General features: G+C 39.7%; 2 protein-coding genes across 12 annotated transcripts in view; one reads left to right on the forward strand and one right to left on the reverse strand.

Moving 5' to 3' along the window:
* Window positions 1-18,640, forward strand: part of AGBL3 (AGBL carboxypeptidase 3) — a 149,271-nt gene that overhangs the window by 120,641 nt on the left and 9,990 nt on the right. For 3 of the 10 annotated variants that reach the window (NM_178563.4, NM_001345851.1, NM_001345850.1), the window contains one exon: window positions 8,232-8,463. The exons of 4 other annotated variants lie outside the window; for them this stretch is intronic. In NM_178563.4, coding sequence (NP_848658.3) covers window positions 8,232-8,463 — 232 coding nt within the window. Of the gene's footprint in view, window positions 1-8,231; window positions 8,728-10,038; window positions 13,831-18,640 lie in introns of those variants that run through there. 3 more of the 10 variants (XM_047420319.1, XM_047420318.1, NR_160300.1) reach the window with 3 other exon arrangements.
* Window positions 1-18,640, reverse strand: part of CYREN (cell cycle regulator of NHEJ) — an 80,167-nt gene that overhangs the window by 14,846 nt on the left and 46,681 nt on the right. The window lies entirely within an intron of this gene.

The raw sequence follows: 18,640 nt of genomic DNA on the forward strand, positions 1-18,640 counted from the left end.
TTTTCAAAAAGCCAACTCCTGGATTAATCGATATTTTCAATGGCTTTTTCATGTCTCAGTCTCCTCCACTTCAGCTCTGACTTGGGTTGTTTCATGTCTTCTGCCAGCTTTGAAGGAGGTTTGCTCCTGCTTCTCTAGTTATTTTAGTTGTGAGGTTAGGTTGTTAATTTGAGATCTTCCTAACTTTCTGATATGGGCATTTAGTGATATAAATTTCTCTCTTAACACTGCCTTAGCTATGTCCCAGAGATTCTGGTATGTTATATCTTTGTTCTCATTAATTAAAAAGAGCTTCTTGATTTCTGCCTTAACTTCATTATTTACCCGAAAGTCATTCAGGAGCATGTTGTTTAGTTTCCCTGTAATTGCATGGTTTTGAGCAAATTTTTTAAATCTTGATTTCTATTTTTATTGTGCTGTGATCTAGGAGTGTGTTGGTTATGATTTCAGTTCTTTTGCATTTCCTGAGAATTGTTTTATGTCTGATTGTGTAGTCAATTTTAGAGTATGTACCATATGGCAATGAGAAGAATGTATATTCTGTTGATTTAGGATGGAGAGTTCTGTAGATGTCTATCAGATCTATTTGGTCCAATGTTGGATTCACATCCTGAATATCTTTGTGAATTTTCTGCCTTGGTGATCTAATACTGTTAGTGGAGTATTGAAGTCTCCCACTATTTTGTGTGGGAATCTAAGTCTTTTTGTAGGTCTCTAGGAACTTGCTTTATGAATCTGGGTGCTCCTGTGTTGGGTACATATATATTTAGAATACTTAGGTCTTCTTGTTGAATTGAGCCCTGATTACCATTATGTAATGTCTTTATCTTTTTTTTTTATCTTTGTTGATTTAAAGTCTTGGTGGTCTGAAATTAGGATTGCAACCCCTGCTTTTTTCTGATTTCCATTTACTTGGTAGATTCTTCTCCATCCCTTTATTTTGAGCCTATGGGTGTCACTGCATGTGAGATGGGTCTCTAGAAGATAGCATACCATTAGATTTTGCTGTTTTTTTCCAGCTTGCCACTCTGTACCTTTTAAATGGGGGCATTTAGCCCATTTACATTCAAGGTTAGTATTGATATGTGTGGATTTGATCCTGTCATTGTGTTGTTAGCTGTTTATTATGCTGGCTGGCTTGTGTGATTGCTTTATAGTGTCACTGGTCTACGTACTTAAGTGTTTTGGCTGGTATTGGTCTTTCCTTTCCATATTTAGTGCTCCTTTCAAGATCTCTTATAAGGTGGGTCTGGTGGTAATGAACTCCCTCAGCATTGGCTTATCTAAAATGGATCTTATTTCTCCTTCACTGAGGAAGCTTAGTTTGACTGGATGTGGAATTCTGGGTTCAAAATTTTTTTCTTTAAGAATATTGAATATAGGCCCCCAATCTCTTCTGGCTTGTAGGGTTTCTGCTGAGAAGTCAGCTGATGGGGTTCCCTTTGTAGGTGACCTGCCCTTTCTCTCTACCTGCCTTTAATAGTCTTTCATTTCTACCTTGGAAAATCTGATGTTTATGTGTCTTGGGAATGATCTTCTTGTATAGAATCTTGCAGGGGTTTCCTGTATTTTCTGGATTTGACTGATGGCCTCTCTAGCAAAGTTGGGGAAGTTTTCATGGACAATATCCTGAAATGTTTTGCTTTTTCCCTGTCCCTTTCAGGGATGCAAATGATTCATAAATTTGGCCTCTTTACATAATCCATGTTTCTCAGAGGTTTTGTTCATTCCTTTTTATTCTTAGTTCTCTTTATTTTTATCTGGCTGTCTTAATTCAGAGAACCAGTCTTCAAGCTCCAAGATTCTTTCCTCAGCTTGGTCTATTCTGCTGTTAATACTTAGGGTTGTGTTGTGAAATTCTTGTAGTGTGTTTTATAGCTCTATAAGATCAGTTAGGTTCTTTTTTATACTGCCTATTTTGTTTGTCAGCTCCTGTATCCATTTTATTGTGATTCTTAGTTTCCTTGGATTGGGTTTTGCCATTCTCCTGAATTTTGATGATCTTTCCTATCCATATTCTGAATTCTATTTCTGTCATTTCAACCAACTCAGGTTAAGAACCCTGGTTGGAGAACTGATGCAGTCATTTGAAGGACATAAGACACTTGGGCCATCGAACTGCCAGAATTCTCTCTAGGGCCTGGAGGCAGCACGGGTGAGGGCTGCAAGAGAGCAAAGATGACAACCCACCTCTCCCACTGAGAGCTCTGTCCCAGGCAGTTGTAGAGCTGCTATTGGCTCGATAGCCCCAGCAAGGAGTGGCTGAAGACTCAGACTGGGAGGACATGCCTAGTGAAGAGATACAGGATGGGGGCCCACATAACAAACAGTCTGCCCGCTTTCTGTATGGCTGCTGCAGTATGCTGGGGGTCTGCTCCAGTCCCTTGTCACCTCGGATTTTTCAGCACCTGAAGGTACCAACAATGAAGGTCGTGAAACAGCAAAGATGGTGGCCCACCCCTCCCTCTGGGAGCTCTGTCCCAGGGAAGTTTGAAACTGTTGCTGACAGAAAACACTAGCAGGGGTATCTGTAGACCTTGGTCAGGAAATTCCTCCCAGTGAAGAGAAATGGGATCCAGTGCCTGTGTGAAAAAGCAGTCTGACCACTTTTATGGAGAGCTGCTGTGCTGCGCCAGGGGACCACTCCAATCCCTAATCACCTCAGACTGTCTAGAGCCTGAAGGCAAACATGGCTAAGGCTGTGAAATAGCAAAGACGGTGGCCCATCCTTTCTCGTGGAAGCTCTATACCAGGGAGGCTCTGAACCACTGCCAGCTGGAAAACACCAGTAAGGGTGACTGGTGACCCTGGTTGAGAAGTTCTGCCCATTGAGGAGAAGCAGCATCAAAGACCCATGTGAAAAAGTAGTCTAGCTTCTTTTCTGTAGGGTGGCTGCACCAAAGGCAACAATGGCTAGGGCTGCAAAACAGCAAAGATAGTGGTTCACCCTCCCTCTGGGAGCTCTGTCTCAGGGAGGTGTAACACTGCTACTAGTGGCTGGCTGGAGTTCCAAGCCAGTCCCTCTGGGAGCTCTGTCTCAGGGAGGTACAACACTGCTACCACTGGCTGGCTGGAGTTCCAAGCCAGTGGGTCTTATCCTGAGATGTGCTGTGGCAGCAGGATCTGCAGACGGTCACTGCTCAGCCCCCTGGATTCAGCCCCTTTCCTAGGGGTATGTACAGAGGTCTAACTTCCCACTTTGCTGGAGTTGCAGCCACTTTTGCTGGGAAACCCGAGTATCTAAAGCTCCTGGGGCTCTGTATATGCCTGAGTAGCTGCTCTGCCAAGACTCCATGTATCAATAACCCTATGTGTCAGACTGCAGGAATTGGTGGAGTGGGTTCATGAGAAGACCTCCTGACCTGGGAGCTGCAAAGATCTGTGGGAGAAGCGTGGGTCCCCATCATCACTCACTGACTCACCCCTTCCTTGGGCAGGGGAGGCTCTCCTGGCTCTGTGTCGCTCCTGGGTGGGCAGCTGTCTGCCTTGCTTTTCTCTGTTCTCCATGGGTCAAGTTGTTTTCTTTATGAATCCAATGTGTGTACCTGGATATTTCAGTTGAAGGTGTTGTGTTCACTCACTCCTTCAGTTTCTCTCCATGAGAGCGACAAATGCAAGCTCCATCTAGCCAGCCTCCCAACCACTTTCTTAACAATGTCCTTAAAACTCGTTTTGCCTCCTTATCCTTTGACTAAGCCAATGCTGAACAACTGCAATTCTGGATGAATCTAACTATCCATCTCTGCCCCTATCTTAGATTACAGAGCCCTGCTGGAGAAAAATTACATTACCAAATGGCATTATACATTCTTGTTTGCATAATTTATATATACATATACTTGATCAGCTACCTCTTCCATTCTCCAAAGTAACTATTCTAAACTTTTTCCTCTCTCTCTCCTACCTAACATCTCCCCTTTACCCTCAGTAGATGACCTAACTTCTTACTTCACATATAAAACAGAAACAAAAACCAGAGAGGCCATCAATAAATTAACTCATCTCAAACATCCTTCCTTCTTGTTTCAAAGAAATAAATATCCCTCTGTTTAAGGTTAATTCATTCAGCAGTGCTCTAGATCCCATGTCCATCAATTTCCTTAGTGACATAACTCTAATTACTGCCGTCTTACTCACCTTCCTCAAAATATAGCCAACATTCATTACCTTCACTTCCTCACTTGTATACTTCTCAACCTACTGCTTGAGAATGTTTCTACTGTTGCCATACCATGAAATGGTTATTTACAAAGCCATACTAACTTCTCTACTGGTGATTATTTTCAGGGCCTTTAAACTATTTCCCTTGATTCATTGAGCTATTTCACAATAGCTATTGTGCATCCCATGTCTCAGTCAGTGTACTGCCATCATCCAGTTATCTAAGTAATAAACCCAAGACTTATCCTAATGTTGTACACGTCTGTTTTTTGGTCTTTAATAACATTTCACAATAGCTATTGTGAAATAGCTCAATGAATATCTGAGTGTCATATCTGTGACACTACTCTCTCCTGGTTTTACTCCTGTTTCTCTAGCCATTCATGAAACGTGTTGAAATATGTGAAGAGGAGCCCATGTAGGACATCACCTCTGCCTAAATTTTAAGTGGGCTGTTTTACAGTAGTCCATCCTTTGGTCTTTCTCACCACATACTTTATTTCTGAGCACTCTCATCTCTACCTGCAGCTTCAACCAGCAACTGACAACCATCATATTTTTTAATCTTCAGTCTAAGCCTCTCCTGAATTTCATATTCCTCTGCCTACTGGATATCGCCATCTGTTTTTCCGCACAGGCACTTCTATTCAATGTGTCCACTTCCGATCTCTTTCTCCTGCATCCCATGTCTCAGTCAGTGTACTGCCATCATCCAGTTATCTAAGTAATAAACCCAAGACTTATCCTAATGTTGTACACTTCTGTTTTTTGGTCTTTAATAACATGAAGCTCTATCCATTCTACCTCTAAAGATTCTCTTGAATCTGCTCTCTTCATCCTAATGCTACCGCTAATTCAGACCCTCATTTTGCCTCCCTTGAATAACTGCATTAGCCTCCTAATTTGTCTCCCTGCCTTGTGTTTCACTTTTCTTCAACCTTTTGTTTTCCTGGGTCCCAGTGTGATCTTTCAAAAATGCAAACCTGATTTTCTTGCGTAAAATCTTCAATGTCCCCCTGTTTCATTCAAAACACATTTATTTAGCATCTGTCAGTCATGAATTATTCCCATCTCAGAGGATCTCAAAAGTGTTATTGCAAACAAGTCCTCTAGTTTTGAACCATGTCTTCATACCTACCTGATATCCCAATTATTCTACACCACACTTGTGATTTCCTGAATGTGCCATGTTAGTCCCACATCCTAGATGACTGTCCTTTTTTACTTGGCTGACTTGTGTTCATTCATTTACCCCATACCCTTTGCCCCCATCTATAAGTATGGCTATAAGTATATGTATGTAGTGAGTGCCCTGGTTTATCTCTATAGGAGTATATTCTAATAGATACTTTACTTTTTGCTCTCTAGTCCTGATTCTTAACATATTGAAGGCAGGGACTGTGTTTTTCACATCTATTTACCAAACAAAAATAGTGCCAGATACATAATAAGCATTCACTGAATGTTTATTTTTATTTTTTTGAGATGGAGTATTGATTGCTCTGTCACACAGGCTGGAGTGCAGTGATGCGATCTTGGCTCACTGCAACCTCCGCCTCCTGGGTTCAAGCAATTCCTCTGCCTCAGCCTCCTGAGTAGCTGGGATTACAGAACTCGCCACCATGCCGACTTAATTTTTGTATTTTTAGTAGAGACAGGGTTTCACCCTGTTGGCCAGGCTAGTCTCGAATTCCTAACCTCAAGTGATCCATCTGCCTCAGCCTCCTAAAGTGCTGAGATTACAAGCATGAGCTACCACACCCGGCCTACATTCAGTGAATGTTTATTGAGTGGCCTAAGAATGGCTTATCAAGAAACTGTAAATAAGTTCATTTCATTTGCCAATATTGCCAGATATTGTAATCATACATTATCTTTCAGATCTAGCTTAAAGCAATGTGTGCTTTATTTATCTTTTTATTTTCCTTTTAAGAATAGATAATTTCTTTACAAAAAAACTTATTGTAGAAATTTTCAAACATAAACAAAAGTAGAAATAGAATAATGAGTCCACTGATACCCATCACCCATCCTCATCAGCATCCTGCTACTCTTGTTTCATCTGTTTTCCCACTACTTTTTTCCTAGAATATTTTAAAATAAATTCTATAAATTATATTATTTTGCCTATAAACAGTTTAGTGTATATCACTAGATAAACAGTTATTAACAAAGCACAGTGTATTTCTTGCTTTTATTCTAAATGTATTCTACTTTCTCTTATGCTGTCTACGGACCAATTTAAGCATGACAATTATAAATTATAGGACATTTTTTTAAATGTCTGACTACTAGTCTTCCTTCAGGCTTTACTCAGGGTTCCACCCACTTCCCAAGTATGTAGACTCTAAATTGTGATAAAATACACATAACAAAATTTACCATCAACTAATTTTAAGTGTACAATTCAGTAGTGTTAAGTACAGTCGCATTGTGGTGCAATCTCCAGAACTCCTTTTTCTCTTTTAAAATTGAAACTTTATGCCTATTCCTCTGCAATTCTCCCTCCCCCCAGCACCTGGAAACCATCCTTCTACTTTTGTGTCTATGAATTTGACTGCTCTAGTCAAATAGAATTCTAGTCAATGGAATATTCTAGTCAAATTAGGAAGTGGAGTCAAATATTTGGATGACAAATGTGATATTTGTCTTTTTGTGTCTGGCTTATTTTATTTTGTATAATGGTCTCAAGGTTTATCAGTATTGTAGCATTTGTCAGTATTTCCTTCCTTTTTAAGACTAAATAATATTCCATTGTATGAATATACCTCATTTTGTTAATCCATTCATCAATGAACACGTGTGTTGCTTACACTGTTGGCTATTATGAATAATGCTACTATAAATATGAATGTATCTATGTCTCTTTGGGACCCTGCTTTCAATGCTTTTGGGCATATAACCAGAAGTGGAATTGCTGGGTCATATGGTAATCCTATTTTTAATTATTGAGGAACCATCATATTGTTTTCCACAATGTTGTACCATTTTACATTCTTATTAATAATGTGTGAAGGTTCCAATTTTTCTAAATCCTTGCCAGCACTTGTTATTTTCTGGAGGTTTTTTTTGATAGCAGCCATCCTAATATGGGGTGAGATAAACATTTTTTAAAATGTTATTATATTCCAGTGTCTCCATTAACAAAACAATAATTCCTTTGTATCATCTAATAAAGAAGGGATTTCTAACATGCTCTTCCCAGTCTCCCCCATGTCCTTATACTGCCATTTCCTCAAACTAGAAGCTTTGGAGCCACCACTGATTCCTCTCTTATTCTCTCATCTCACATCCAATTCTTTAGAAAATCCACATATGTACCCAGAATACTCCCACCCCACTTCTCACCCTTCTAGCCATTTCCACCACCCTGGTCCAAGCTACCGCCATCTCTCCTGGATTGTTTCTGAAGCCTTCCAAGAGATCTCCCTGTTTGTTCACTCTTGCCTCTCTTCAATCTGTTCTCAACTTGACAACCAGCACAATCTTGTCCAAACAAATCTCAGACTGACACTCCTCTGCTCAATGCCTTCCAGTGATTTTCCATCTCACACTCAGTAAAAATCAAAGTCCTTCTACTGGCTTTGAGGCCCAACATGAGCTGAGTCCATGTTACCTACCTAAATTTACCCCTTATAACTTTCCCTTTTGTTCATTCTACTCCACCCACTGATGCATTCTTGGTGTTCTTGAACACACTACTATTCTCCTACCTCAGTAAGGGCCTTTGTCTCGAATTATCTTTCCCCTGAAACCTGCTCGATTTACTTCCTAACTTCCATGAGATGTCAGCTTCATAAGGAGGCTTTTTCTTAACACCTTTTTAAAAATGGAAATCAACCCCTCAAGAATTCTCTACTCCCCTCCGCAGCTTTACTTTATCCCGTAAACTTTATCATTATCTAACATAATATATATTTTATTTGTTTATTTTCTGCCCACTGTCATTAAAGTACAAGCTTCAGATGGGCAAGGAATTTTAGATAAAATCCTTGGCATATAATAATGCCCAATAAGTAATTGTGAATAGAGTTCATATCTCTGTACATATTTTTGTGGTTGCTCCCCAGATCTGCACCACAACTTAAAAAGCAAAATAAAAGAATGCATATCTTTCCAAAGCAAGAAGACTGGCATAAATTGGACAGATGATGAAAAAAGAAGCTACAAGGATAAAGGAATAGTTCAAACTCAAGAAATATTGCAGTATTTGCTCCCCATCGTGCATAGCACTAAAAACATGCAAACCACTCAGATAAAACAGCTATTCAATCCAAGAACCAACTTCCAAATCCAACATCAGTAAGTCAATACAATTTTATCACTCTTATCTATTTAACACATCTTTTTTAAAAAAGCAGGGCTTATTAATTTATTATCCTACGAAAAAAAAATCTGCTCTTGAAAATGATGTCAGCTCCATCACATTTGGCAAAGAACAAAGACCCAAAGCTGTCAGAAAACACTGGATAAATGAAGGAGTAAGTTATCAGGCCTTATTTAATTGATTATTTGCATGAAACTACTCATTAATTTAGATCTATTAATAAAGTAGGCATAAATAAAGTATGATTATAGCCTGATTTGAAAATTATCAGCTGTTTTAAGCCTTATAATCCTATGGGGTAACCAGAATTAAAAATAATTAACCTGAGCTACTTCAGTTTATTGATACTGAGATGAAAGCAGAAAGAGCGAGACCAGTTTTCTTCTAAAGATAAAAAACAGAACTACCTCTAAGGCCAAAAGGAAACATGTGTAAATAAAAGTAAAGACAGTAATAAGCTGAAAATAATAAATACAATACTAATATTATCAACAGATTTTTATAATGTACTTCCTATGTGCTACACACCGTTCTAAGTTATATATGTATACACTTTACATTTTACACATGAGAAAACTGAGGTGCAAAGAGGTTAAATAATTTGTCCAAAGCCTCACAAGCCAATATGTAGTGGAATCTGGAGTCAAATCCACCTAGACATTCTGACTACAGAGTCCTCCTGAACTTCATCATTATGCTTTGCCATTTCTCTTTATAAGTGAAAAACATGACCAATATACTTAATATACAAAGAGTGCTTACATATCAACTGGAAACTTATGAATACTTTCATAAGAAAATGGGTGAAGGCTATGAACCATTGCTACTGTGCAGTAGTAAAAACCCTGACTCTTCACTAGGCCTCCTCTGACACCAGCCCAATGGGGAGAGAAAGAGGTACTTCATTTCTGTCCATTGAGTATGGAAATCTCGGCTCCCCATTTGGTTTCCAATGACACCCTGGGGGAGGAGAGAGACTCTTTATAGGCCAGTGGGAGGGTCAAAGTTCTGGCTTCTATTTGTTCTTCTTTGACTCCACCCTAGCAGAGGTTTGAGATCCCCCATTATACCTCATAAGAGTGGAAGTGTAAGCCCCTCTGCCTCTGCTTACATGGGTGGGAGTGAGGGCACTGTTTATCTGTGGTGCTTGGCTGGAGTACAGTGGTTATTGCCTAACATTTTCTATATCAGTAGGCTGTCCCTTTCCTGGTCCTTTTCTACACAGTACAGGCTATTGTTGAGAGCTTTTTGTGCATGTGTCTGGGCACATTTGTGTTTTCAGATTGCTGGCTTCTTCAGCTCCAAGTCTTGGATATATGAGGCAAAAAGAAAACCCAGGAGACACCATTGTGTTGTTCCTTTGTTCTTGAAGTCCTTAGCTAGCCTGCCTGCTTTCTACCTTTCGGAGTTGCCTTTTGTTCATTTTATATGTAATGTCCAGGATTTGTAGTTATTTTTAGTGCAAAGAATAGGGAAAATGCATCTGCTTCATCTTCATGGAAGTGAAAAATATCTCCAATTATATTTTGATTTGCATAATCTTTCTCAAGAATTTTCATCATTACCAAATGGAATGCCAAGCATGAGATTTATTCCTCCATATTGAAATCTGACCTATGTTTGACCAGAGAGAAATTTAAGGTATGTAAATCATCTTGTTAACATGCAATTCACCTATTAATCCACCTAGACCCTATTCATTTTGGCTTAAGAACAGAACAGACAATGTAGGTTTCAGCCCTATGATTACATTCAGATGTAACGTCATGTTCAACATGATAATTCTGCAAACTCTTACAGCACATTAACTAGTTTCTCCTTAATCCTAAATTAGACCAATGTCTAAAATGGTTTAGCAAAGTGTGATCTTCTCATTCTTTGCTTATTCTCACTTTACCCTGAAATCACTTACTATAGGTAATAGCATGTAAGAGTGTTGAGACAGTCAAACAAATGATATATAAAACAGAGAAGGTAGCCATAAAGAACTAAGTTGTAAGAAAAACAACAACAACAAAAATCAACCTGACAATGTTTAAGTTTGCAGTGAGATCATCTGTTAAGAAAGGATTTGCTTGCTGCTTTCCTACTTTTTAATATTTCCATATACACCTATATCAGATACTTTTGGGGGTGTCTACCTCAGGCACAATTTGCCCTTCTCTGGGGACTGCCTCTTGATCCACAAGGGTAGCACTTCCAAAAGCTGCATTTGTAATTATGTGACCTCTACCCACTGGCATGGTTGCCAATCAGATTATCTTTCTCTATACTTTGGAATTGGAATGAGAGATAGTGGATCAGTCTTGCACATGAAACTGCTGTAGGATGCAAATTTGAGCTAAGGGAAGTAAAAACTTTCCTGTGGAGAGAGAAAAGCAGAGACTGCAGATGAATAAAAACCCTTGGATGTTTTCCATTTTCTAGTTCTAGTCCTTTCCTGAAGCCTGGCTGAATTCCCTCTCCCTCTGTTTCCATGAGTAGCTTTGTACTTTCTTATAATTCTTCCCCTACCCTACCTTATGCTTTTTTTAATTAAGCTAGCTTGAATTGGTTTCTGTTACTTGTAACCAAAGAGGTCTTAGTTAATACCTCACTATTTGTCTGTACCTTCATGCTCAGGCCAATCCTCATTGAGTGCATTTCTAGATTCAAAGTATTAATATATAAGGAACCTCTTATGAAAGTAATGACTAAAAATCACGCCATGTCCTAATTGTCACCTAGACCCCACCCCAATCTCAATGGAGGCTACATATGGAGATGAACCTCCACATCTGTCCAATAATAATTAGAAGCCTCCTATCTCTGGTGTCAATGGGGTCCAGATGGGGAACCTGGACTTCCACTTCCATCTTGCAGTAATGAGGTCTTATCTCCCCACTCCCTGAGCTGGAGCAAACTAACAAAAAGCCAAAACAGAGGGTTTACATAAGATCCAGAGTCTCATAACATAATATGAAAGTGTCTATGTTTTAATCAGAAATAAATTCTTGTACCAAGAACCAGGAAGATCTAAAACTGAAAAAAGACAATTAGTAGACACAAACACTGAGATGTTAATGATGTTAGAATTTTTTGACAAAGATTTTTAAAGTAATCATAATTAAAATGCTTCAAAAAACACTTATAAACACACTTGGAAGAAATAAAAAAATAGCCTCAGCAGAGAGAGAGAGAAAAAAATATTAAGAACCAAATAGAAATTTTTGAATTGAAAAATACCACTGAAATTTTAAAAGCTTAATGGCTGAGCAGAACAGTATAATTGTACAAATAGAGGAAAGAGTCAGTGAATTGAGAGAGATAGAAAAATAGAAATTACCCAACTGAACATAAGAGAAAAAATAGGCTTAAAATAAAATGAATAGAGCTGCAGGCACCTGTAGGACTATAAGACAAAATCTAATAATATTCACATATCGTAGTTTCAGAAGGACAGGAGAATGAATATAGGGCTGAAAAAGAAATCAAAGAAATAATGGCTGAAAGGTTCCCAAATTTGACAGGAGACATAAACCTATAGATCAAAAAGCTGAGCAGACCATTAATAGGATACACCCAAAGAAATTCATGCCAAGATACCCCAAAATTTAAATTTTTTTTTTTTTGAGACAAAGTCTTGCTCAGTTACCCAGGCTGGAGTCCAGTGGAACAATCTTAGCTCACTGAAACCTCCGCCTCCTGGGTTCAAGTGATTCTCGTGCCTCAGCCTTCCGAGTAGCTGGGGTTATAGGCACCCACCACCATGCCTGGCCCAATTTTTGTATTTTTAGTAGAGACGAGGTTTTGCTGTGTTGGCCATGCTGGTCTCGAACTCCTGACCTCAAGTGATCTGACTCCCTCAGCTCCCAAAGTGCTGGGATTACAGGCATGAGCCACCATGCCCATTCCCCAAAATTTAACTTCTGAAAATGAGACCAAAAAAAAAAGAAAAAACTATCGAAAGGAGTCAGAGAGGCTGGGCACAGTGGCTCATGCCTGTAATCCCAGCACTTTGGGAGGCCGAGGTGGGCAGATCACGAGTTCAGGAGATCAAGACCAACCTGGCTAACACGGTGAAACCCCGTCTCTACTAAAAATACAAAAAATTAGCTGGGCGTGGCAGCGGGTGCCTGTAGTTCCAGCTACTCTGGAGGCTGAGGCAGGAGAATGGCATGAACCTGGGAGGCAGAGCTTGCAGTGAGCCAAGATCGTGCCACTGCACTCCAGCCTGGGTGACAGAGCGAGACTCCGTCTCAAAAAATAAAAAAAGAAAAAGAAAGGAGTCAGAGAAAAATGACACCTTTCCTACAGAGGAAAAACAATTTGAATGACAGTGGATTTCTCATCAAAACCCACAAAGCACAATAATTTTAATTATTGGAAGAAATTGTCAACTTAGAATCCTATACCCAGTGAAAATAAGGGAGAAGTCAAGAAAGGTTCAGATAAAAGAAAATGAAGAGAATTTTTCACCAGAAGACTTACTCTAAAAGAATGACTAAAGGAATTTTTCTAAACAGATAGAAAATGACAAAAGAAGGAATATCAGGAAAGAAAGAATACGGTAAGCAAAAATACAGGTAGATATAAAATACACGTAAATATAAATTTTTCTAAATCATATTTGATGGTTGAAGCAAAAATTATAATATTGATGTGGTTCCAAATATACATAAAAGACATATTTAAGACCACTATAAATGTGAGAAGGTAAAAGGACATAAAAGGAGGTAAGGTTTGTACTTCACTCAAATTACTAAGTTAACACAACCAATAAATTGTGATAAGTTATGCATATGTAGTATAATACAGCAACCACTGAAAAAGCTGTTCAAAGAGATATACTAAAAAACACTAAATAAATCAAAATGGAATTCTTGAAAAATGTTCACATTACCCACAGGAAGGCAGGAAAGAGAAAACAAAAAACAAAAGATAAACTTTTTTTAAATGGCAGATTTAAGTCCTAAGACATCAACTATTACATTAAATGTAAATGACCTAAATACAACAGTTAAGGACAGATTAACAGAATGAATTTTAAAACATTACCCAACAATATGCAGTCACAAGAAACTCATTTCAAATATGACAATGGAGGCAGGCTGAAAGTAAAAGGATGGAAGAAGATACATCATGCAAACATTAATAGATGAAAGCAGAAGTGGCTATGTTAATATTAGGTAAAGTAGATTTTAGAGGAAAGAAAATTATCAAAGAGGGGCATTATATATAATGTTTAAAAGGTCAATCCACTAGAAACACAGCAATCTTAGATGTGTGTATAAAATCACAGAACTGGCTGGGTGCAGTGGCTTACACCTGTAATCCCAGCACCTTGGGAGGCCGAGGCAGGTGGATTACCTGAGGTCGGGAGTTTGAGACCAGCCTGACCAACACAGAGAAACCCTGTCTCCACTAAAAATACAAAAAATTAGCCGGGTGTGGTGTCTCATACCTGTAATCCCAGCTACTCGGGAGGCTGAGGCAGGAGAATCACTTGAACCCGGGAGGTGGAGGTTGCGGTGAGCCAAGATGGTGCCATTGCACTCCAGCCTGGGCAACAAAAACAAAACTCCGTCTCAAAAAACAAAACAAAACAACACAGAACTGCAAAATATGTGAAGCAAAAACTGATAAAACAGAAAGGAGAAATAGACAAATTCACAATTGTTTCAATAATTAGAAAATAAGCAAGGATATAAAATAATTCAACAAGAATATAAATATCTAACTGACATTTAAGGAGCACTTCATCCAACAACAGCACAGTACACATTATTTTCAAGTGTACGTGGATCATATACCAAGATAGAACATATCCTAGCTATGAAATAAACCTCAACATATTTAAAAGAATTTAAATCATAGAAAGTGTATATCTGACCACAATGGAATCCAACTAGAAATCAATAGCCAAAGGGTAATAGGAAAAAAAAAAAAAAACCTAAACATTTGGAAACTAAATAACACACTTCTGAATAAATCGTGAGTCAAAAATATTCTCTGGGATGGGGCCAAGATGGCTGACTAGAAACAGCGGCATTCGGAGGCTCCCATTGAAAAGAACTATAATAAGCAAGGTATCCAGGTTCTCTCATCAGAACTGACTAGGAGGCTGGTGTGATCCACAGAGAGGAAGAACAGTGTAGTGCAGTGGCCCACCTGAGAGCCACACAGGGCAGGAGAGCACCCCCCTATATCCCCAGCCAAGGGAGGTGGTGAGTGAGTGTGCTACCCAGCCGGGGAAACCGTGCTTTTTCCACAGAACTGTGAAACCTATAGATTGGAAGATCCCACTCACGACCCACGCCACCAGGGCCTAGCGTCCCAACCCCAGAGCCGTGAAGTTTCTCAATAGCCTCTTAGCTGGAATCTGCTTAAGCCTACAGAGCTCCCCAGGGGAGGCATGACCAGCACCACAGCTGTGTCTGCCTGCTGTCTAAGCCGTTTGAGTTCCTTGGGGGAGGGGCAGCAGCCAGCACTGGGACTCACAACTGCCTAACACACTAAGCTCCCTGGGTGGTGGAAGGGCATCATCCATCTCTATAGCTCCAGGCTGTGCTTTTCCTCTGCTGGAGTCAGGGAGGCTGAACAGCTTGGTTCCAAGACATGTTCCCCAAAGCCCAACACACTGACTGTGGCTGACTGTGGCCAGAGTGCCTCTTCAGGCCTGACCCTGACCCATCCTTCCTCATTGGGTGGGGCTTTCCTGCAGGAACTTCAATAACTCCAGCCAGAGGCTCAGGGACAGAACCCAGATCTCCCTGGGCCTGAGCCCCTAGCGGGAGGGGTGACCACAGTCTTTGCAGACCAGCAGACTTAGCCTTTCCTCCTGGTAGTTCTGAGGAATCTGGGCAGCCCAGACAAGTGGGTTTCCCCCCAGCGAAGCACACCCCCCCAACCAAGGGACAAAGTGCTTCGTTAAATGGGTCCTGTTCCCCCTGCCACCCAACTGGGTAAGACCCTCCAACAGGGGTTGTCAGATACCCTATACGTGAGCAATACTGCTGGCATCAGGCTGGTACCCCTTGAGGTCAGAGATCCCAGAAGAAGGAGCAGGCACCCTTCTTTGCTATTCTCCAGCCTCCTTGAGTGACATCTCCAGGCCCAGGAGTGAACCAGATGACGAGGGCCTGAAGTGAAACCCCAGCAAACAGCAGCAGCCCTATAGAAAAGGGACCTGACCAATGAAAGAAAAACAAATAGAAAGCAACAACAACAGTATCAACAACAACAAACAAGCCCCCAGAAAAACCCCATCCAAGGATCAGCGCCTCAAAGATCAAAACTAGACAAACTCATGAAGATGGGAAAGAATTAATGAAAAAACACTGAAAACCCAAAAGGCCAGAGTGCCTCCTCTCCTCCAAATGATCGCAATGTATCTCCAGCAATGGCACAGAATTGGTTGGAGGATGAGACAGACAAATTGACAGAAGTAGGCTTCAGAAGATGAGTAATAAAAAACGGCTCTGAGCTAAAGGAGCATGTTCTAACCTAATGCAAAGAAGCTAAGAACGTTGATAAAAGGTTAGAGTAGCTGCTAACTAGAATAACCAGTTTAGAGAGGAACATAAATGACCTGGTGGAGCTGAAAAACAGCACAAGAACCTTGTGAAGCATACACAAGTATCAATAGCCGAATCGACCACGCAGAAGAAAGGATATCAGAGTTTGAAGACAACCTTGCTGAAATAAGGCATGCAGACAAGACTAGAGAAAAAAGAATAAAAAGGAATCAACAAAGCCTCCAAGAAATGTGGGACTTCATAAAAAGACTAAACCTACGATTGATCAGAGTACCTGAGGGAGACGGAGAATGGAAACAAGTTGGAAAACACGCTTTATGATATTATCCAGGAGAACTTCTCCAACCTCGCAAGACAGGCCAATATGCAAATTCAGGAAATACAGAGAACATCACTAAGATATTCCATGAGAAGATCAACCCCAAGACACATAATCTTCAGATTCTCTAAGGTCAAAATGAAGGAAAAAATGTTAAGGGCAGCCAGAGAGAAAGGCCAGGTCATCTACAAAGGGAAGCCCATCAGACTAACAGCGGCCCTCTCAGCAGAAACTCTACAAGCCAGAAAAGATTGGGAGTCAATATTCAACATTCTTAGAGAAAAAAAATTTCAACCCAGAATTTCATATGTGGCCAAACTAATCTTCATAAGCAAAGGATAAATCAAATCCTTTCCAGACAAGCAAATACTGAGGGGTTTCATTACCACCATGGCTGCCTTGCAAGAGCTCCTGAAAGAAGCACTAAATATGAAAAACAAAAACCAGTACCAGCCACTGCAAAACCACACCAAAATATAAAGACCAATGACACTATGAAGAAACTGCATCAATTAGTGCACAAAATAACCAAATAGCATCATGATGACAGGATCAAATTGACACATTACAATACTAACCTTAAATGTAAATGGGCTAAATGCCCCAGTTAAAAGACACAGACTGGCAAATTGGATAAAGAGTCAAGTCCCATTGGTGTGCTGCATCCAGGAGACCTGTCTTATGTGCAAAGACACACATAGGCTCAAAATAAAGGGATGGAGAAAAATTTACCAAGCAAATGGAAAGCAAAAAAAAAAAAAGTAGGGGTTGCAATCCTAGTCTCTGACAAAATAGACTTTAAACCAACAAAATCAAAAAAGACAAAGAAGGGTATTACATAATGGTAAAGGGAACAATTCAACAAGAAGAGCTAACTGTTCTAAATATATATGCACCCAATACAGGAGCACCCAGATTCATAAAACAAGTTCTTAGAGACCCAAAAAGAGACAGACTCCCACACAATAATAGTGGAAGACTTTAACACCCCACTGTCAATATTAGACAGATCAACAAGACAGAAAATTAACAAGGATATTCAGGACTTGAACTCTCAGCTCTGGATCAAGTGGATCTAATAGACATCTACAGAAATCTCCACCCCAAATCAACAGAATATACGTTCTTCTCTGTGCCACATGGCACTTATTCTAAAACTGACCACATAATTGGAAGTAAAACAGTCCTCAACAAATGCAAAAGAACTGAAATCATAGCAAACAGTCTCTCAGACCACAGTGCAATCAAATTACAACTCAGGATTAAAAAACTCACTCAAAACCACACGATTACATGGAAATTGAACAATCTGCTCCTGAATGACTCCTCGGTAAATAATGAAATTAAAGCAGAAATCAAGAAGTTCTTTGAAACCAATGAGAACAAAGAGACAATGTACCACAATCTCTGGGACACAGCTAAAGCATTGTGTTAAGGGGGAAATTTATGGCACTAAACACCCACATCAGAAAGCGAGAAAGATCTCAAATCCACACCCAAATATCACAATTAAAAGAGCTAGAGAGGCAAGAGCAAACTAATCCAAAAGCTAGCAGAAGACAAGAAATAACTAAGATTAGAGCAGAATTGAAGGAGATAGAGACACAAAAAACTCCCCCAAAAATCACTGACTCCAGCAGCTGTTTTTTTAAAAAAATTAACAAAATAGACCACTGGCTAGACAAATAAAGAAGAAAAGAGAGAAAAATCAAATAGACACAATAAAAATGATAAGGGGATATCACCACTGATCCCACAGAAATATAAACTACCATCAGAGAATACTATCAACACCTTGATGCAAATAAACTAGAAAATCTAGAAGAAATGGAGAAATTCCTGGACACACACACCCTCCCAAGACTAAACCAAGAAGTCGGATCCCTGAATAGACCAATAGCAAGTTCTGAAATTGAGGCAATAATTAATAGCCTACCAAGCAAAAAAAAGCTCAGAACCAGACGGATTCACGGCTGAATTTTACCAGAAGTACAAAGAAGAGCTGGTACCATTCCTTCTGAAACTACTCCAAACAATTGAAAAGGAGGGACTCCTCCCTAACTCAATTTATGAAGCCACCATCATCCTGATACCAAAACCAGGAAGAGACACAACAAAAAAAAGAAAACTTCAGACCAATATTCCTGATGAACATCAATACGAAAATCCTCAATAAAATACTGGCAAACCGAATCCAGCAGCATATCAAAAAACGTATCCACCATGATGAAGTTGGCTTCATCCCTGGGATGCAAGGCTGGTTCAACATATGCAAATCAATAAACATAATCCATCACATAAACAGAACCAAAGACA

Source organism: Homo sapiens, chromosome 7 (assembly GCF_000001405.40).
Source record: "Homo sapiens chromosome 7, GRCh38.p14 Primary Assembly".
Classification (NCBI taxonomy): Eukaryota; Metazoa; Chordata; class Mammalia; order Primates; family Hominidae; genus Homo; species Homo sapiens.